Source organism: Homo sapiens, chromosome 8 (genome assembly GCF_000001405.40).
Source record: "Homo sapiens chromosome 8, GRCh38.p14 Primary Assembly".
NCBI lineage: Eukaryota > Metazoa > Chordata > Mammalia > Primates > Hominidae > Homo > Homo sapiens.
Genome location: NC_000008.11, coordinates 4,472,324 through 4,495,546, shown reverse-complemented (window position 1 = coordinate 4,495,546; position 23,223 = coordinate 4,472,324). Strand labels below are relative to the sequence as shown.

General features: G+C 37.7%; 1 protein-coding gene across 3 annotated transcripts in view; it reads left to right on the top strand.

Moving 5' to 3' along the window:
- Positions 1-23,223, top strand: part of CSMD1 (CUB and Sushi multiple domains 1) — a 2,059,554-nt gene that overhangs the window by 499,368 nt on the left and 1,536,963 nt on the right. The window lies entirely within an intron of this gene.

The following is a 23,223-nucleotide window of genomic DNA, read 5'->3' as shown; positions in this document are numbered from 1 at the left end:
CTAGAGTGCAGTGGCGAGATACTGGCTCACTGCAACTTCTGCCTCCTGAGTTCAAGCAATTCTCCTACTTCAGCCTCCCGAGTAGGTGGGATTACAGGCACACGTCACCAGGCCTAGCTAATTTTCTGTATTTTTAGTAGAGATGGGGTTTCACCACGTTGGCCATGCTAGTCTCGAACCCTTGACTTCGTGATCCGCCCGCCTCAGCCTCCCAAAGTGCTGGGATTACAGGCGTGAGCCACCGTGCCCAGCTGAGAAATCATTTTGTATTAGTCACATTTTTATGACAGCAATTTATAGTTTTCAGGTAGTTTCCCATTATTAATCCTTTTATAAAAATCCCAGGATTTCTCATGAAATTCTGGGTAATGCTAAGTATAATGGAAGTCCCGGTTCCTACCTCACTTGTTTATAATAATGCTGCCTGTTGTCCATGTGTTTTAGAAGCAGGGTGAATAGTGAATCTGGTTTCTTTCCTTGTCTCCCTGTCCCTAGTGCTTTTCTGCCACGTTCTAAGTGATCTCTTGTTGCTTTTATTTATTTTCTCCCTCTTTAGTACTTCTTTTCTTTATTTTCTCCACTGTTTTTTTCTGCTGCCTTTTAATTATGTATATCACTGCGTATTTTTTCTTCTTTCAATTTGTCCTAACAATGAGAATTTTAAGCTTTTGTTTCCATGTTTCAGGTAGAATTGCTACCTACCCTGACTCTATTTTCTAAGTTTATTCTCTTTCCTAGTCTATTTTCCACAAAATTATAGAAAGATATAATCATGATAGAGAATAGGTAATCAACAAGACAATCTATGCAGCCATTTTTGCATACTTAACCCAACTGACTGGAATTCAAAGGCTTCTTTTTTTTTAATGGCAGGAATGGTGATGAAGATGCCAAGTAACAAAAATGTGGATGAAGCGAACTTTCTTTTAAAACCCATAGTTAGTGTAATTTGTGAAGTTTTATTGACTTGCATTATTTTTAATCCATAGCCCAGATAAATCTCCAATAATGTTTATTAGATAGAAGCAATTTATTGTTGTAAAATAAACGTAAAACTTGGATAGAATTGTCTTCACATGAAAGTATAATAATGTTTTCAAGCAATATATGCGATAAACTAATTGTAGGGAAACTGACTTGTGAATATTAAAATAGAAAATCTATTCATATTTCACTTTAGTAAGTCTCAAATGTCACTGAGCAATTGCAATTTACCATGGCCATGAAAATAACTACTAACCTACATGTTTTGTCTATGAAAGTTATAAGAAGAAAGTAAATGACATTCTTCCTTTACGTTTGTTCAGTTTACATGGAAATCTGTTTTTGGTAAGGAAGATAGAGCTGGTTTCTTAACATTTATGTGGCTGACAGGAATATTGGTTTTTGAAACAACAATATCTTACCCCAGTTTTCTCTACTCTAACTCTCTTCATTTTTCTACACCTCCCTTTGGAAGCCTTGTGTTGTCCACTAGATAGGATGGGACCCAAGAATACCATTCATGTTCCTTCCCCCAGGGCCTCTGAGGTCTTCTCCTATATCTATGTGTACATGCTTAAGGCATTTGAAGTTAATCAGTAGAACCAAGTTGACCTTTTTAACCAATTTTTAAAAATTCAAGTCAGTTGTTAGTGTCTATCATTTTAATTTCTTGGTCTTTGCTTCTTTATATGAGGTCAGTCATGGCTGGAACTAAATAAAAACTGTGTCCTGCTGTGAATGATGTCCTCTAGTGGCTCCTCCTCAGCTTAGTAAATACTATTCTTAGGGATAGAGTTGATTCTATTTAAATTATTTTTAAATGTTGAATTATTAGGTTTTTGTTTTTGATATTTTAAGATATTCTTTTGAGGTAGAGTTGCACTCTCTCACTCGATCTGGAGTACATTGGCACGCTCATAGCTCACTCCAGCATCAAATTCCTGGCCTCAAGCAATCTCCCCACCTCAGCTAGTAGCCGGGACTACAGGTGCATGCCCCATTGCCTGGCTAATGTTTTAAAAATGTTTTCGTAGAGATGGGATCCCAATATGTTACCCAGGGTGTTCTTGAACTCCTGGACTCAAGCAATCCTCTTGCCTCAGCCTCCCAAAGTGTTGGCATTACAGGCGTGAACCACCAGTCCCGACCATCAGTAGCTTTAGAATGTGTTTGTATCAGTAGTAATCCTTTACCAAACTAACAACCATCATTTAGGTGCCTAGTTAAGAGTGAACATACACACACACGCACAAACTCTCTCTCTCTTAGGATTTTAAAATTAACTTTTAGGAAGAATGACAATTATTTGTTAAGACAATCTTAAATTATTTTACCTAATATATTTTTGTGCTTCCAATGTAGGTATATAACGCTTACTGTCTTAAGGTGAAGAATACTATTGCTGCCTTTAAAAAAAAATCTAGTCTTCTTACGGTACCAGAGCAGGTCTTCCAGAATACAGATGGTTCAGTATACTTTTATAAGCAAATGTATTAACCTCAGAACTGAAATATTTAATATTGATCTTTTTTCTTTTGGCCTTTATTCTGACACAACCTTGATCTTCAGATCGGAATTGGGTGTTGAGACTTAACTAGACTCAAATCAATTTTTAATAAGAGTTTTCACTGCCTGTGACAGTTTCTTCCATCTAATTGATAGCACAGGCCCATGTTAAATGAAAAATGTATTTTTCAAGCATGTTCTGTATAACAAAGTATGCATGAGAAGCAGCATCTGGAGTAAATTACTGTGTGCTCTGAATAAGGATCAAGAACTGTATGGAAAGAGATTTGTGTCCCATAGAGTTGCTTGGGTGTTACCTGTGCCCATGGTCAGTTTCCATGGGTCTACATGTGACGACTCATTCTCAAAAATCCTTTTACCTTCAGTTGTCTACATATTTTGATCAAATATAAATCCAAAGGCGGCACTAGTGCTTCATGGACATAATTAAACCAAAATATTTAATCCCTTTACTGAAAACGATTATATTGTTTTCACTTCTAAAAACTAGAGCAAATCATGTGAGAAATATTATAATGATCAGATGTGGTTTAAAAGAAATCAACTTTATATATACTGAGGAATCTAAGCTCATGTTTACTTGTGATGTAAAATATAATTTGAGTTCACCTTCCGTAGTTTTGCCTTTTCCAGAATGTCAGATATTTGGCATCCTACAGACTGCCTTCTTTCACTTAGTAATATGTGTTTAAATTTTCTCCTTGGATCACCTGAGGCGAGGAGTTTGAGACCATCCTGGGCAACATAAGAAGATCCCGTGTAGACAAAACATTAAATCGTTAGCTGAGCATGCTCACATATGCCTGTAGTACCAGCTGCTCAGGAGGCTGAGGTGGGCAGATCCCTTGAAGTCAGAGGCTGTAGTGAACTATGATCGCACTCCTGTGCTCTAGCGTGGACAATAGCGTAAGACCCTGTATCTAAAAAGAATAATAAGGAAACCATATTTTCTTCATGTCTTTTTGTGTCTTGACAGGTCGTTTCTTTTTTTTTCTTTTTTTTTTGCTGAATAATATTCCACTATGTGGATGTACCATAGTTTATCCATTCATCTATTAATGAATGTCTTGGTTACTTCCAATTTTTGGCAATTATGAATAAAGCTGCTATAAATATTTTGTAAAGATTTTGTGTGAACATAACTTTTCAACTCATTTACATAAAGACCAAAGAGGACAGTTGCTGGATCGTACAGTAAGACTGTGTTTAGCTTTGTAAGAAACTGCCACTTGTCTGCCAACGTGACTCTACCATTCTGCGTTCCCACCAGCAGTGAGTGAGCCTTCCTGTTGCCCCACAACCTCAACAGCATTTGGTTGTGTTGCCATTCTGGATTTTAGCGATTCTTCATTGGTGTGTAGTGGTGTCTCATGTTCTAAGGACATGAGGTTGAGCATCTTTTCATATGCTTATTTACTCTCCTTGTATCTTTTTTCATGAGGTGTCTGTTCAGACCTTTTGCCCACTTTTTTTAAACATTGCAAAATCATTTTCCAGGAGACAGACTATGAAATGTGGGAGGAAGGAGGTGAAGTTACCAAAATGATACACCAACAAAAGTCCATAGCTGTTTAACATATCCTTTCACAGGCAGTTTTGCTGACCTTATCACAGCTAGGGCGTAAGGTTAACTGTATTGCAAACCCAGGGCTGATCGCTATAATGGATGTTGCTAGAAAATCCTGGACACGTGCGCCCAGACTTGTCCCCTTCCAGATAAGGCTGCACTCCTTGGCACGTCAGGCATCTCCTCTTGGGATCTTCCGTGATGGTCTCTCTAAATTCATTTCTTTCTTCTTTTTAGTATTGAAGTTGTATCTATTTATTTTAACTTGTATTTTAAGTTCAGCAGTACATGTACAGATTGTTACATAGGTAAACCTGTGTCTTGGGGGTTTGTTGTAGAGATTATTTCATTGCCCGCATATTAAGCCTAGTACCCATTAATAGCTCATGTCTTATTAGGTCCTGGCAGGCGACCGCCTCACCACAGCCAGGTACCATAGGAGCTGCCTACATGTCCCTAGCCTCAATACACTGTGAGCCTGTGAACTCCTCCCTGTGGTTCACATAACAGTTCTCTTGTTTCTTCTAAAACTCTCCCTTATCCACTCCTGTGATAAGTTATAGTCCTAGAAACCACTGCTGTGCTTTGTGTGTATTAAATCACGTCCTGTAACACTATAAGCAAGAGGATAATGTGTTTCCGACTTTATTTGTGAGAAAACAGAAACACCTAGAACTGAATTAATATGCCCGACCTAGTGGAGCTAGTGCACAATCTGACCCTGGGTTATCCTGGCTTCTGGCCTCTGTTGTCTCCCATGCACCTGAAGTTAAGAGTCTCTTATTTGTCTCTTCTGTATATTAAGACCATTCTGAGCATGGGTCAAATGGGCATTTTTCCCTCTCCTGATTTCAGTCTTTGTTTCTTTCTCTTGTTTGTGATCTCCTTGATGAGAAGAATTCTGCATCTCATATCCTTAGCATCTATGACAGTTCATGGAACGTGGCTGGTGTTTAAAAAATGTGATGAATAAATATGTAATTTAAATTGTTAAAGTAATTAATCAGTTGTCATTAAAAAACTAAAAGTTAAAACCAATAGTAGATAGGACAGATGTGAAATACACATTTTATTCCTTAGAAACTAAGTTAGGGGACATTAAGCAATGGTTGCACTTACAAGATATCTGGGCTGGATATGGTGGCTCATGCCTGTAATCCCAGCACTTTGGGAGGCCGAAGAGAGTGGATCACGAGGTCAGCAGTTCAAGATCAACCTGGCCAAGATGGTGAAACCCTGTCTCTACTAAGAATACACAAAATTAGCTGGCTGCAGTGGCGGGCACCTGTAATCCCAGCTACCTGAGAGGCTGAAGCAGGAGAATCACTTGAACTCAGGAGGCAGAGGTTGCAGTTAGCCAAGATCCTGCCACTGCACTCTAGCCTGGTGACAGAGCAAGACTCGGTCTGAAAAAAAAAAAAAAAAAAAATTGGTACCTGAGTATCGTAAATTGACCTGGAAAGACAGACAACAATTTTGTGGCAAAGGCAATTGGCATTCACTTCCTGTTGCTACTTAATGACGATCACAGACATAGTGGCTTAAAGCAGCATGAATGAATGATCTCACGGTGTCTGTGGGTCGTAGTCTGGGCAAGGCATGGCTGGGCACCCTGCTTACGACCTCACAAGGCTGCAAGTCAGGTGGCAGCCTGACTATGTTCTCCTCTCAGGCTTTACTAAAGAAGGATCTGCTTTTCATGGCAAACATCTCACACCGCGGCAGCTGCTTCTTCCCTGCCAGCCAGGGTGTGAGCAGGGAGGGTGCTGCAATCTCACCTGCCAGATCAAACATAGGTGCTCACACGCATGCCGTCACCTTAGCTCCTTGTTGACCAGAAGCAAGTCACAGGCCATGCCACACTAAAGAGAAGGTATGACTCCAGAAGGCAGGGATGGGGAGGGTGGCACCTTCATAGCCTGTCTGCCACACAATCATTGAGAGTAATTCTTTACATATTCCAACCACCTCTCGTTTCTGGTGGGGCATATGGTGTTCCCCTCAGCACCCATTTTATAGTTTTTGAACATATAAAAAGACTTTGAGCATCACTTTGAAGAATGGTAAATGTTTTGGTGGGGATTGCATGTGAAATATACATGGATGTGTGTAAGCAAACAACAGCAAAATACTCAAATAAGTTTTTCCTTATGCATTGAATCTTTGAGACATTTTCCCAGAACTTTCTGCAGCTCCTTGCTTATTCTTAGAAAAAGGAGGGCACCTTAAGTAGAAAATATGTAAGAAGTATTTAGTAGACTGGGTGCAGTGTGTCACGCCTGTTATCCCAGCATTTTGGGAGGCCGAGGCAGGTAGATCACCTGAGGTCAGGAGTTTGAGACCAGCCTGGCCGACATGGTGAAACCCCGTCTCTACTAAAAATACAAAAAATTAGCTGTGTGTGGTGGCACGCACCTGTATTCCCAGCTACTCAGGAGGCTGAGACAGGGGAATTGCTTGAAGCTGGGAGGCGGACGTGCAGTGAGCCAAGATCGCGCCACTGCACTTCAGCCTGGGTGAAAGAGCAAGACTCAGTCTCAAAAATAAAAAAATGTTTAGTAATTGCTGAAGGCATGCACATTCTGCAGGAAAGGATTTCTGTCGTTTTATCATAAGGACAGGGGAATCAGGAAGGAACTGGCGATCTCTTTGCAGAGAGGAAATATGGACATAGAGTATTTCCTTTTTGGATACGCAGGACGCGGGTCATAGCTGACTTCTGAGGGCCCATTTGGTGCTGGGGATGCTGACAGATGCCACATATCCACACTTTTCACCCCCCCCACCGCCATGATTATGTAATTCTTTGGTGTTCCTTTTTAGAGGATGTAAGGGAGTATTTTGCTATAGATTGGATGTGTTAAAGCACAGGAATTGAAAGCAGCAAATCTGGAGATAAATTTTTGGGGCTCTGCTGCCGACTCCACCAGTTTAAAAACATTGTAGAAATCCAATGTTTGATTCAGAGTAGGGTGACTACTGTCACCACTAGTTTATTTTGTGAATATTCATTTGAGCATACTACTTCACCTCTGCCCTCTGTAAAACAGAGGCAACGAGATCAAGCCCCCCACAGGTTATTGTGAGGATTAAACAAGTTTCTATATGTCAAGTGTTCAGAATACACTTGGATATCATAAGCACTTTACACATGTTAACTACTCCTGTGGTTATATGAAGTAGAGGTCTTTCAGGGCATTTCAGCTCCCAGGGAGTCTTATTCATTTTGAGCTGCTGTAACAAAATACCATTAAGTTGTTGGATTATAAACAACATAAACTTATTTCTCACAGTTCTGGAAGCTGTAAGTCGAAGATCAAGGTGCCAGCAAATTCGATGTCTGGGGAGACCCTGCTTTCTTATTTATAGATGGTGCCTTCTAGCTGTGTCCTCACATGGCAGAGACAGAAAGAGACAAGGGCTCCATCCTCATGACCTACTCACCTCCAGAAAGCCCCATCTCATAATAGCATCACCTTAATGGGTAGGATTTTCACATATACATTTCGGAGGGACGCAAACATTCAGTCTACGACACAGGGTTTCATATCATTCATTTGATTTTCATTTGTCTATTTAATCCCTCCCAATCTTAAGTGTCTGGTTTTACAGATAAATGGAAATAAAGACATGTTTAGCCCTTGTTATCTCTCTCTTGCCTAAGTTAATTAATTTTTGTAAGTATATTTAGGACATTTTCTTTAGACGATTAAGGCAGTTAGACTGAGTACACTTTATTTTTATATCCTCTAAACAGGCATTTTGGCAAAATTTTTTAAATGGACTTAATTATTTTACAGAAAAATCCTTTTTTTGAAACAAAATCAAGGGTGTGCCTTATTTCTACTTTAATTTTGAAACTTCACAATAGCAAAGACTTGGAACCAACCCAAATGTCCAACAATGATAGACTGGATTAAGAAAATGTGGCACATGTACACCATGGAATACTATGCAGCCATAAAATATGATGACTTCATGTCCTTTGTAGGGACATGGATGAAATTGGAAATCAGCATTCTCAGTAATGTATCGCAAGAACGAAAAACCAAACACTGCATGTTCTCACTCATAGATGGGAACTGAACAATGAGAACGCATGGACACAGGAAGGGGAACATCACACTCTGGGGACTGTTGTGGGGAGAGGGGAGGGATAGCATTAGGAGATATACCTAATGCTAAATGACGAGTTAATGGGTGCACCGCACCGGCATGGCACATGTATACATATGTAACAAACCGGCACATTGTGCACATGTACCCTAAAACTTAAAGTATAATAATAATAATAAAAAAGAAAGAAACTTCATCATTATTACACATTGCTTGAAATAGTGCCTTATATGATCTGGTATTCTTCCTTGAGGCTAAGATGGCAAAAAGAAAAAAAATTCTCCAACTTAATTAGAAAGCGGAAAGATATTACAATTCTCTTCAGTGGAACTTTGTTTAGCCTCAGCACCTCGATGTGGAAGGCGTGTGTAGCCGTCAGCTGTGCATCTCTCTCTGTGAGCTACCATTTAGGACCCTGCCTGCTTGACAAGCTTTAATTAAATTCTAATTCCCCCTTCTTCTTGCTTTTTATCTTAGGTGCAACATTGTGAGCTTGATGTGTAATTAATAACAATAGCCAAGTGGAACTTTTGCAGGCACCTTTGCAGCAGAGCAGAGGCAGTTTTCAGGATCGTTTATCACTCAGGTTCTTCGTATCAGGCAGTGGCTTTCTTCCATGAAGGGGAACCCTCTTTGTACATTTTTCTTTGTATTTCACTTTTGCTTAATTCAAAGTGGCCAAACTTCAGTTTCCCCATCTATATGTATGTCACAGTGTTTAGGTCACTGAGTCGTATTTATATAAATAAAGTTTCAGAAAGATGGACTTCTTATATATGCATTGATAAGCTTCTGTTATGCTTACTTCAAAAATATTACTAAACAGATAAAAATGTACAATATAAACATCACTAATTTTTAAAATCTAAAACTAATATAAAGGAAGAAATATTTTTAAAATATATAGTAGTTCACAACTATATTATAATTAAATATAAATCATGTTATGATTCCTGGAAGTAAAAATGAGAAGGAGATATACATGTTTAAGATGCAACCTGGTAGAATCGTCGCAAATTACTGTTATTTGTAGCTAGGGGGATAAAAGCTCTATGTGCCTATGTTTGCGTGTGCGTATATATATATATATATATATATATATGTATGTATATATATATATATGTATGTATATATATATATATATATATGTATGTATATATATATATATATATGTATGTATATATATATATGTATGTATATATATATATATGTATGTATATATATATATATGTATGTATATATACATACATATATATGTATGATGAAAGAGAAAGAGAAATTTAATTTTAATACTTAGATATTATTACTTTATGAAGTCAGGATTGCTAGAAAAAAATAATTGCTATTACATAAGGAGGGATTCACAAGCAGATCTTCCAGTGTGTATCAATATCAGAGTGATGAACTTTGTGGCTACAAAATAATTGAAATGAACTTCCTGGCTGCCAGGAAATCCACTTCTTACTCCCTGGTCAGAGTGAAATGTCACCATAATGGGGTTTTTGACATTTGCGTTTATATGTTGCCACATTTTGGAATTTGCCATTTCTTTTGTCAGTAGCAGATGCATTTCAGTATGTCACCAACTTTGGAAAAGTAAAGCCATTGGATTTATTGGGATTAAGATTATGTACTTATTTTGGGATTTCTTTTGTTAATTTGTTAACAGCTTGATTTTGGTCAGCCTCATTTACCTGGGCTCTGCGATAGCATACAAGATCAATTTTAATAGTAGAAAGCATTATCCATTTTCTAGCTTGAACATCCATGGATAGAAGTGGCAAGAAATAAAGTCACCCAATTATAAGAATATTGCCATTCCATTAAGGGACTATTGATGGTAAGATCAGGAACTGAAGAAGCAGGCTTGCTGCCCAGCCCAGACACATATTTGAAGGAACTTGTGAATCCATAGAAGCCCTTCCTCTCTCTGTGAGAGTCAGTTTATCAGGCCCCGTCTGTAGGGCAATGGTTTCATTTGGTGTTAACTCAAGTGAAAGACAAAAATGAAGACAGGTTGTTTGAAGAGTTTGGTTGGTAAAAATTTCAACTGGGGATAAATGTTCTCAGCTGACAGGCGTTCCAAGCAAGTTTGAACATGATGGTGCTTCATCTTTTCTCAAGGGATGAAAAGTAGGATCCTAGAGGTGAAGAAGTATTAAGGACACTCTCTTTATACAAATCAGTAGACATCTAAGGAAATGCATACAGCCTATGCCGAAGACCTTATTTGGAAAAACCTGAATACAGACCCTCTCTCAGCATCTCCTTTCTGTGTGGGTAGAAATGAGTAGAAAATGGGAAGAAAGCCATATGTCATAGTGACTCTTTCTTTTTTTTTTTTTTTTTTTTTTTTTTTTTTTTTTTTTTTTGAGGCAGAGTCTCACTCTGTCAACCAGGTTGGAGTGCTGGAGTGCAGTGGCACGATCTCGGCTCACTGCAACCTCTGCCTCCCGGGTTCACGCCATTCTCCCGCCTCAGCCTCCCGAGTAGTTGGGACTACAGGCGCCTGCCACCATGCCCGGCTAATTTTTTTTTGTATTTTTTAGTAGAGACGGGGTTTCACCGTGTTAGCCAGGATGGTCTCGATCTCCTGACCTCGTGATCCGCCCGTCTCTGCCTCCCAAAGTGCTGAGATTACAGGCGTGAGCCATCGTGCCCGGTGACTTTTCCTCTTTCAATATCTTCCCAGGTAGGGACCATGCAGGAAGATGTGTCTCACTTTCCCTCTCATAGAGCAGGTCACGTCAGCCCTCCAAGTTGATACCTGAGAGAGCGAGTGATGAATCTGTGTATTCAGTATGACTCTGAGTGTGGGGTGTTGTGAGATGGACTTACCAAACTTGCTTAAGATCCCCTGTTCTCTTTTGTGCCTCCTTCAAATTGCCCAAGTACTGACTGAAATAAAGAAGGAAAACCCCCATCCCTCTCTGTGTCTTCTGGTTCTGATATAGTTCGTGAATGAGAGAGTGTTCATAATGTAAGTAAACCCCACCTTTCTCTTTCTCTCAATGTTAAAATTTTTTAAATCCAGATAACTTAGAAATGATCAGGACAGAGGGACAAAACAAAATGAAACCTTGTTCCTAGAAGAAAATCCTTCCATAGAATTTTTGAAAACAATCAGAAAGCAAGGTTTTTTTTTTTTTTTTCGTGTCATCCAAGCTGCAGTCCAATCACTCCACTGATAAGGGAAGCGGCCTCCACAAATCCTTCTAGCCTTTGTTGTGGAACCTCATGACCCCAGCTCTCCTGTTTAACAGACACCCTTTCATTTTGAACTGATGCTGAGGTATTGCTTGGCAGACTAAGAAATGTCTAATGCAGCCCTATCATCCAACAGGCAATGGGATGTTTCTCCCAGGGCTGTGCTCTCTCCGAAAACGCAGGACTGTCAATGAGAGACAACGACATTATACAACAAAGTGAGCCATGATGCTTGGCCTGAATAAGCAAACCCTTTCGGTTCATTTTTGACTTACTCTAAGTATTGTGAAACACCCAGAAATATTTTGTTATTTTCTAGAGTTTTTGAAACCTTCACAAACCAACCCATATTAATAAAATTTTAAATGGTAAACCAGTTCTTAATTATTTATTTTGTTCAGGATTATTTTCTAGAACTGTTTGAACCTTTCTTTTTCTTCATGACAAGCAAAATCAGTGCTTTTCTTACAAAAATGGATTAAATATGTGTTTAGCCCAAAAATCACATTTTGCTGTTTTAAATTAGTCTTAGCTGCACCTATGCTTGTATTGAAAATGAATCACCTATTTGATTTCAATATCCTTGAGAGAAAACCAATATAAGTTTTGGTGTCCTTGTCACTCATGTTTGTATGACTTTCATACATCATACATTATTGCTTTATCGATTAGAAGTCTGTTATATTAAAGCATTGGGGTTTTCTAAATGGTAATGACTTGTTTTTATCTTTAGATGTAATTAGCTAGCTTTAGAAAATGTAGCAGCATTAAGCAAAATAATTTATCTACTGGTGTATTTGTTCATTTTCATGCTGCCGATAAACACATATCCGAGACTGGTCTATTCCCAAAAGAAAGAGGTTTATTGGACTCACAGTTCCACATGGCTGGGGAGGCCTCACAGTCATGGTGGAAGGTGAAAGGCACTTCTCACTTGGTGGTGGCAAGAGAGAGAATGAGAACCAAGTGAAATGGATTACCCCTTATCAAACCATCGGATCTCATGAGACTTATCCACCACCAGGAGAACAGTATGGGGGAGACTGCCCCTGTCATTCAATTATCTCCCACAACACATGGGAATTATGGGAGTCCAATCCAAGATGAGATTTCGGTGGGGACGCAGAGCCAAACCAATCAATTGCTAAACTATTTTACTACCTAACTCCATTACTCTATTTTCATTTTTGCATGTTTTATACCTACGCCTCCCATACTTACTAAAAATTAATATATTTGGAAAATTTTACATACATGCCCCTACTTTATGAAGTTCCTTAAAAAAACATAAATAGCAAATTAAGAGTTTTAGTATTGATTTGCATTTCTTTAATGAGATACTGTCTCACACCAGTCAGAATGGCTATTTTAAACAAGTCAAAAAATAACAGATGCTGGCAAGGTTGTGGCTAAAAAGGAATCCTTTTACACTGTTGGTGGGAGTGTAAATTATTTCAGCCATTGTGGAAGACAGTGTGGAAACTCCTCAAAGACCTAAATTCAGAAATAACATTCAATCCAGCAATCCCATTACTGGGTGTATACCCAAAGGAATATAAAACATTCTACCACAAAGACACGTGCACATGTGTGTTCATTGCAACACTATTCACAATAGCAAAGACATGGAGTCAACCTAAATGCCCATCAATAATAGACTGGGTAGAGAAAATATGGTACATACACACCATGGAGTACTATGCAGCCATAAGAACAAATAAGATCATGTCCTTTGCAGGAGCATGGATGGAGCTGGAGGCCATTATCCTTAGCAAACTAACTCAGGAACAGAAAACCGAATACCGCATGTTCTCACTTATAAATGGGAGCTGAATGAAGAGATCCCATGGACACACAGAGAGGAACAACACACACTGGGGGCTATAAGGGTGGAGGATGGGAGAAGGGAGAGGATCTGGAAAAATAATTACTGGGTACTTGGCTTAATACTTGGGGGGTGAAATAATCTATACAGCAAACCCCCATGACACAAGTTTACTTATGTAACCTGCTCATGTACCCCTGAACTTAAAAGTTTTTTAAAAGAGAGTTATTGTATTGCTACCTTTGTATCAATGATTTTGTATACAGTCATAAAGGTGGCCATGGAAGGGTGTGGCAGGAGAATTCATAAATCTCTGGAAAGACTTGTACTGATAAAGCCTATATAATATAGCAGCTAAGAGTAATGGATCATAAAGCCAGGCTTCTGCATTCTGTTGTTTCCACACCTCAAGTCACTTTGATCAAGCTACTTGATCTCATTGTGCTACAGTTTCCTGACTTCTAAAATAGAAGTAGGTGGAGTACCTACCTCCTGGGATTATTAAAATTAAACAAGTTAATCCCATTATGTGCTCACAATAGTCTCTGGCATATACTAGGCACAGTATCTAATATTTACTTCTTTAAGCTTAAAGAAGTAGTCTAATATATGGAACAAACCAAATAGACTGAGTCCTGAAGCATTTACAAGGTCTGTGGACTCAGGTATTTAACCTCTTGGTGCTTTTATTTCCTCATGTGTTAAAGTTTATTTTATAAGGATTAGATGAGATCACACGTGAAAAATATTAGCTTAGTCCGTCACCAAATAAAAACAGGTTAATTCCTTCTCTATCTTTAAAACAGCAAATGAGAAGATATTTGATCAAATCTCATATGCCTTCCCATGCTGAACACATCATTATTTTATCTCCCACTAAGAAAAAATAAAACACTGCCAATTCAACTGTGATCCAAGGTCTCCTTAGCATTGAGATGTCTCATTTTATATTTATTGAAATAACCCTTTTGATAGATTAAGCTATAGACTTTAATGCATTATAATTAAAAATGGGAAAGATAAGGGTCAGTGTGATAGGGCTGGCACAGCAGGAAAATGTGCATGGGCACGTACAAATCTAAATTTGGACTCTTAGGTCTGCTGATAGGAAGGTAAAGCTAAACAAGCACAATTGACTATAATCTGGAACTGATGTGTATTCGGAATCTTACATGTGTGGCTCTCAAGCCTTGAGATGCTCATTGTAAATAAGGCTGGAGTGGAAAAGGCAGTTTCCTACTTAGGTGATATTTAGATATATTCATATCTTGTCACTACTTGGGTTGGGAGAGAAATAGAAACAAATAGCTGTTTTATTGTGAAGGTTTCAAAAATCACTGCACCAAAGAATCACCTGGGGAAGACTGTTAATAGGTAGATTTCTAGGGCCAGTCACTAAGATGATGAACTCAACAACTAGGGATGTACCCCAGGAATCTAGATCTTTAACCAGGGACCCAGGGATTAATGACAATGGTGTGACAAAACCTGAATGTGGCAGTCGGCCTCAGGAAACACAGCTCAATATTAATTGGTTCCTGAGTCCTCGTCTTCAACATATAATGCAGTATATTTTGAAACCTCAAAAAAGTGGATTCTATACCAGGTGGTTGTCAGAAAGAGATGGATACACAGCTACACAAGGACCCATAGGGAGTTAGTAAATGCAAGCCTATTTTAGAGAATGGCCCACAGACGTGTTTGTTTCTCATGCATTCTTGGTTTTGTAAGGTGAAGCTAAACCGTGCTGATTGCAGTAACAGGACCTCCGCTTGACGCATGGTGCAAAAAGGCGGAGAAATTTCCGTCCACCAAGTATCTGGTTGTCTAATACAACTAGCTGAGGCCCCTGCTTTTTTATGAGAGTAGAAGGTTATGCTCGCAATAGACTCGAGATAAGGATGTTAACGCGCTTTACAAACTTAAATTAAGGCTCAAATATTCTAGTGAGAAATGTAATTTTCTCAGCTAACAGGTGAACCAGTTTCTCAAAGGCTGCAGAAACACACAGGTTAAGTGATTTGTGCAAATTCATCCTGGGGGTCAACTCAGAGCTACCCTAGACATGAGAAGTCCTGCTTTTTCCTTACAGCAGTAATTTCCTTCTCGGTTTTTTTTTGTTTTTTTTTTTTTGTGAGATAACAATGCACTCTCGTGGTATTAGGAAAATAGTAGAAAACAGATTCTCAATGAAACAGCACAGAACAAAGTTCCTTTTAACTGGTCATGGTTCAGCTACTTCAAACTTCTCTAACAGAACTCACGACCACATTCTCCAGGGAGAATGATAGGATAAGTATGTTTGCTTTATCCAGTTTGCTTTTTTTTGTTGACTTTTTATTTTTTTTTTTTTTTGAGACAGAGACTTGCTGTGTCACCCAGGCTGGAATGCAGTGGCTCCATCTCGGCTCACTGCAACCTCTGCCTCCCAGGTTCAAGCAATTCTCCTGCCTCAGCCTCCCGAGTAGCTGGAACTAAAGGAGTGGGCGCCACCACGCCTGGCTAATTTTTGTGTTTTCAGTAGAGAACGGGGTTTCTCTAATTCTCAGTAGAGAATTAGCTTCTAAGGAAGCTAATTTTTGTATTTTTAGTAGAGACGGGGTTTCACCATGTTGGCCAGGATGGTCTCTCTCTCCTGACCTCGTGGTCTACCCACCTGGATCTCCCAAAGTGCTGGGATTACAGGCGTGAGCCACTGCACCCAGCTGGAAAGTCATTTTTAAAGCAGTCAACTAAAATTTTAGAGAAAAATGTTATTTGTGCTCTGGAAGTGAAACGAGTGATCAATGAGTAAATAAGAGGCAAAGGTATTTATGAAACTACTGAGAATCCATTAAGGTCTTTGTTATTTTGGTTGTATGGTAAGTTGCACCAAATATATTGTTTTGTTTTGTTTTCTGGTTTCTTAATTACTGAAGTGAAAGCTCTACCTGCTAACTATAATCAATTTTGTAACCGGACATATGTGGTAAAGTGCAGCTGTTCAACTGTATAAAATTCCTTTTTCATACTTACCAAGAAAAACACATTCACAAGCAAACAAATGCAACTTTGATTTATTCCTGAGATAATATGCTGGCAATATTAATATGTAATTCCAGGGGTATCTTCTCAGGGCTCTGAAGACATTTCAAGGTTGTGGACCCATTATTATTTATGTATTTATTTATAAATTAACCTTATTAAAGAATTGTAATTTTCTCTATGCCAGAAAATAGATATAACTGTGTCTTATTTCTTTACACACGTAAACATTTGAATAGCATTGAGCCCCTGCCATACTCTGTGTTATCTTCCCTAGGAATTGCAACAGTGTTTTAGTGTAGGAATTATCGTTCCTTTTGGGGGAATTAATAAACTAAGGTTGAGAAAATTTCCGTGAATTAAGGTCAGTCAAGTACAATTGCCAGAAACTAAATTAAATTTCCATTTGTCTGCTTTTTAAGTCTAGCCCTGTTTTCAAAAATCTAAGTATGGATGTCAAAGCATATGAAATATGTTGAAACTATTCTCCAAAGAATATTTAAATATTTTGAATGCCATTAAAATTTGTTACATATTTTATGAATTTCTATGAGCTAAGGAAAAAGTGTGCATTTTGGAGAAGAATCAGCTTTACAAGTAACCAGTTAACATGCACCATGGCCATATAAAATTAACTTGACATTAGAAAATTTATAGTTTCCTCTCTGATAGTTTATAACGCCCTGCCAATAATACTTTCTTTTGCTTCATTATTAATGTCGTTTACTATCATCAATATCGGTACATTAAATGGAAGGCAGTGTATTAAATTTTCTTTGATTTATACATCTACTTTCAGTTTTTTTGGGGGGGAAAGCTAATGAAGAAACTATTGATTCAATTTTTATCTAAAGGCATTTGTGACTTACTGACAAGATATATAACTTTACAAAGTATTTCAATACTTTGGACTTGTGTGTTTCAAATCTTAATATTTCCCAGAGCTTAGAAGATGTAAAAATAAATTAAACTGTCACATGAGGCAACTCATGTTGCTTTGAGTTGCTTTTTACTATTTTCAACCTTAGGAGCAAATTGGGAAATAAGCATTTCTAAGGAAGCTTTTCAGTATTAACATGAAGTGAATCATTTGGCGAGTGAAAGAATATAAAAAGAGGGGAAGAAGGAAAGTAAGAAAATTGCCCATCTTTGCTGTTACAGGCACTAGGCCTGTGAACGTAACAGCCAGGGGTAGGTCTTATGGCCCCATAAAAAAACAGGTTAAAATCAGTTTTAACTCGGGGAGTGCTACAGAGGAGATGAAAGTGAATGGTAGTAGAATTCACTGAGTTCCCGGTACTTAACAGTTTTCTGCATGGATAGAAATGGATGGAATGCATGAATATTTATTGCATAGCTATCATGCGCCAGGCAAAAATTGATCAGGTATCAGGTTTTGCCACCAGTTATAAATGAGGATTATGAGATTTTCAGAATTTATGTCCAGTTAAAGCAAACAAACCAAAAATATAATACAGCACATACTAACCAAATCTGTAGCCACCTTAATAAAAGTTCTCACTTAAAATACAGTATTGTGAGTAAGAGGTTTGGACAAGAATGGCTTTTGGTATGTGCATAATTGACAAAGGTTGTTTCAGTCTATCCTTTGGGGACATGCCTTGCGTCACTTCCAGTACCCAGTCAACGATTTCTTAGATATCTCACAGTGCCTTTCTCTGTGCAGAAGTCAGTTTAAATAGGAACTTCTCAACTCGCAATTTTTAAAAAAAGATGTACATTTAAACTGTGTGTGTCATAGAGCATCGTGTGAAAATGCCAGGCCACTCACGTAATGCTGCATTTTAATTATAGTGATTAAATATAAATATCTGAAAATCATGTGTTTTACCAGACTCAGTTTCTGAGCCCCCCAATTTTGCTCAGCACCAAGTCCCCGAGACTGATCGAGGCGTTGCCGATGGCTTGTGGAGAGCCCCTCGGCTGCCATGACAGCCTAACTCCTTCCAGCACCAACGCCTCGGCTTCCCCACGGTGAGGACCAGCTCAGCCTCCACCGTCCACACCTTAGTGGGAGCTGCAGTGGCTCTAGCCCTAGGTAGCTCTGTCACTGGGAGCCCTCTCACCTGGGCTGGGCTCAGCTGGAGGTGTCTGCGCAGGAAGACAGTGGGATAAGGAAGGGTCACAGAATGCCCACTGGATAAACTGTGACTCTTAAGAGACAGGTGGTGGGAAGGAGTGCTCACACCTGCTCTTCCCTCTCCCTGACACAGCTGCAAGGCTGGGGTCCCACCAGCCCTGCGGGAGGGAAATCCCTGTAACCACAGCCACCTGTCCATCCTAGGCAGCCAGCAATTGGCATTCAGCAGCACACCTCATGCTTTTCTTTACCTACCTTCCCTGCTTCATTTCTTTCTCTTTTCACCCTTGATTCCCTGGGATTTTTCCTTCACAAAAAAGCCTGTAGTTTATGTTTTGACTGAAGCTTTTTTCGTAAGGAATCCAGGGAAGTACGGTGATGGGTTTTGATGGAGGACTTCATGTGTCAGGTGCTCTCTGTGCCATCTAATCCTTACATATGAACAAACGGAGGTATAGAAATTAAGAAAGCTATTCATAAAGTGAGTGGTGAAATCGGGACTTGAACTGGCATTTGACCTGGGAGTCCACAGCCTTGGGATGGTGTTAGACTATGAGTTGCTATTTCTAAAGGCAGTCTCAAACCCTCAGTGTTTTACTAAAAGTGTTGTGGAGACCTATTTGATTATGTTTTATTTTAAAATCCCTTTCTGTTTTATAAATACATATTTTAGAACTCCGAAAAGTAGTGATGATGTTCAATTTCAGTATTAATTCAGATGAGTATTCCCAAATTATATGATTTTACCATATGTATATATGACTACATTTAAAAGAAGCTGAATTAATCACACTTAACTACCAAAATTCCAAAATGTAAAGCCAAAATTGTGCTGAATACTAATACCATATTCTTATGATCCTAAATTTGACATGTGAAATTTCGTGTTAGAATAGATACATGCTTATAAACATCCGGTCTCTATCATGATGAATAAAAAGTATAATATCTTCTAGCATATCTTTTTTTAAAAAAGTTTTATTTTCTGTTAAAAAGAAATTATCAGTTATGCTGGTGAAGCAAACTATATTTTAATTGGAAGATTACACAAGAGACTTTTAATAGTTAATGTAACTTGTTTATAAATTTAATCTATTATGTATTAAATATATATAATTAAATTGAAAAAATCACACTGTCTTAACCAGAAATTTTCTAAATAATACATTGCTTTTGTCTGCTGATTAATTACGGAAAATGAAAGATATGACTGTGCAAATAAACAAAAATACAGACAACAAAATGAAACCAACAGCAATAACACCAACAAAGTATAATAAAAGAGCCAGGTGAGGTGGCTCAAGCCTGTAATTCCAGCACTTTCGGAGCGTAAGGCAGGTGGATCACCTGAGGTCAGGAGTTTGAGACCAGCCTGGTCAACATAATGAAATCCCATCTGTACTAAAAATACAAAAATTAGCTGTGTGTGGTGGTGCACGCCTGTAATCCCAGCTACTCGGGAGGCTGATGCAGGAGAATCCCTTGAACCCAGAGGCAGCTGCAGTGAGCTGAGATCATGCCACTGCACTCCAGCCTGGGTGACAAAGGGCGACTCCGTCTCGAAGAAAAGAAAAAAGAAAAAGAAAAAGAAAAAAAACCCTAAGAAAAGAACGTTGTGCCTGGGTGGTATTTAAGACGTATAGGTTGCAAGATAGATGAAACTTTCTAGTTATCTCTGAGTCCATGTTTTTCTCTAAAAAACACAATTCTGGGTTCTCTGTATCGAGAATCAAATGGGGTTGCCTTCCATATGATGCCACAGGTGAATATTAAAAAAGAGAAACACTCAACAAGTTTTCAGGATCATAACACATTTGATATTGTTCATACATTAACTCTTTATTAATATACTGCTTCTGTCTTATGAAGCTATCACAATTTGGAGACATGCTTGTAATATTTAGATTTCAAACTATTATGGATATAGAAATGGAGTGAGAGAGGGAGGGAGGAAATAGATAAACAGTATTGAATGCCATCCACAACTTTTAAGATATATATTCACAGCCCTGTATTATAGGCAACCATAATCATATCAATAGGCTTGCTTAATACTAGCCTAAACATAATAAAGCATCCTAAAACACATATCCATTTTTCAAATGCTTAAAAATAAATACAGTTAATCCTTGAATAACACAGAGGTTAGGACACTGACCCCTTATGCATTGAAAAATCCACATAAAACTTTCAACTCCCCCAAAACGTAATTACTAACAGCCTGTAGTTGACCAGGAATCTTACAGATAACACAAACCGTCAATTAACACATTTTGTATGTTATATGTATAGTCTTACAAGAAAGTAAGCTAGAGAAAATAATGTTAAGAAAGTCATAAGGAAGAGAAAATATATTTACTATTGATTAAGTGGAAGGGGTCACAAAATTCTTCCTCCTCATGGTCTTCATGCTGAGTAGGCTGGGGAGGAGAAACAGGAGGTGTGGTATTTGCTGTCTCCGGATGGCAGAGGGAGAAGAAAGTCCACGTGGGAGTAAACTGCTCAGTTGAGATCCACGTTGTTGTTCAACGTCAACTGTGTAAGAGTTTACTCTGTAATTCCTGAGGGCACCCAGGAATGGGTTACGTAGTAGCTCACACAGAAACACCGCCTAAAGGTTCTCTTTAGAGCTCTCACTCTCAAAAGTGCTAAACCCCATGACATCTGCTCAAAGTTTGTACTAATCTGCTCTCTAAGACTGCAGCCCTTAGCAACTTTGATTTTCCATTTTCAGTCTCTCTCCATTCTACAGAATTTCTTTTTCACTTCTATGACCCTCTGCCTTTCTTAGACCAATTCTCTGTCCTCCTCTTATTCTAATCAGCTCAAGTTAGACAACACCAGCATAAAATCTTCCTTATAATGTCTGAGTGGTATGTTTTTTTTCTATTTGGAACGTTAATCTGTCACCTTGCTGAACTATTTATAAACATAAACATAATTTAAATTTATGTCTCGTGTTATACCTATAATAAACAACTTGTAGGCCGTTCTTACATTTAAATTTTCACTTACGAAGATTATTTCCATGTGTGGAAATTGTGTTGTAAGGCAGGCAAATTTATCATTTTCAATCTCTCTAGTTTCTTTTTGTGTATGTTCGTTTAGATTGTAATTGCATACATTATACGTTTGCATATATTTGCTTTTATTTCTTTGATAGTATCTCTTATTTAATGGATTGGGTCTTTCTGAAATTAATTTTTTGTGTCTCTTTTGACACAGGTACCTAAATCCTCCCCCCAGTAGAAAACCATTTGCTTTAATATTATTTATTGATTAGTTTGTTCTTTTTCACTGATTTGAAAAGCTACCTCTCTCATATATTAAATTCTTATATATGCTACGATCATTTGCGTGTTCCTATTTGACAATTCTATCTCTATTTTTCTGTCATTTTATAAGATAATAGGTTAAAAGAAAACCCAAAGCCATTTGGTTGAAAAGAAACTAACATTTATGTGTTACTACATGCTACACATTCCTGCATACCTTACATCATTTAATTTTGACAGTTACCTAGAGTCATATGCTCTTTGTTTTCACAGATAAAGGAAACTAAACTCCCCAAGTTTAGGTAAAGTGATGTACAATGTCATCTTGTCCGTATTTGTGCATAACTACTATTGATATGGAGAGGCAGAAGTACAAGAAAAAGGCATAGCCTAATTGCAAAGCAGGTGCAAGAGGGGAGTGGGGGTTCTTTGGATTTGCAGACACTGGGTATTACTTTGTGAAATCCTTGCTTATGAAACAAAATAATACTCAGGTAAGCTGACTGGATTAAAGACTACCTACAATGAGAATGGGGTAAGCCAGCCACTTTCTCAACCTCAGATACCCCAATGGCATCAGGTTGTCTCTGCTGATTTTCCCTCCTTTTGTGTTAAGAACTCACATTGATTGTCATATTTCTAAATCCGAAAATGTAACCATGAGAGTTTACAATTTTACAAAATGGCTTAAAATTTAAAACTTTTTAATCATTTATAATTGAAATTTTAAGTCGTCATTGGTTTGGAAAATCATTGGAATTTTAAAATCTATATTCCAGGAATTTACTATAAGGTTGTAATTATCTAAATTCAAACACAAGTAGAGAAAATGTTACATAATTCAGGCCCATATCCTAAAATATCACTTAATGCAGAATTTGAATATTTTGACTTGTTTGAGGAATTTAAACAATATAATTTATGTGTACATATAAAAATAATATATATGAAATATAAATAGGTAATGTTACTGTAGATTTACATAGAATGGAGTGTAAATTATCAAAATATTATGGCAAAAATTTCTACTATAATTTTTCTAAAAGTGAATAACTATGTTTAATCATATGTCATCACACTTACAGAAAGGGTATATATACCAAATTTTTTAAGTATCTAAGATCAATGATATTGAATGGTATTTTAAAATAACTTTCTATATTAAAAGAAGTGAACGTCCACAGTTATGAAAGTAAAAGTGCTGTTTACACCTAATATGCTCATTTCAATATTTTCTTGATATAACAAAGCAATTAATATTTTATAAATTATTTGTTTAAAATTATTTTTCTTATTGTTTGCAGAATATCTTGTTAAATATTTTAACTTTTCAAAGTGATGATGAATAACTTTCTAATAGCTATTCTTTGGAATATAATTCTAAATACTGTTTTGGTATTTCCTTTTATTTTTTACAAAGCATAAATAAGGTTCCCCGGGTCCCTCTCATTTTATTCATCTGTTATTACCTTAAATATATGTCTATAAATGACATATACCTTTAAAATAAAAGTATTAAGAGACTACAGTGAAGCACTGTTACTACAGATCAAGTGATGGATGAAATAAACCAGGTACATACATGCTTTCTCTACTA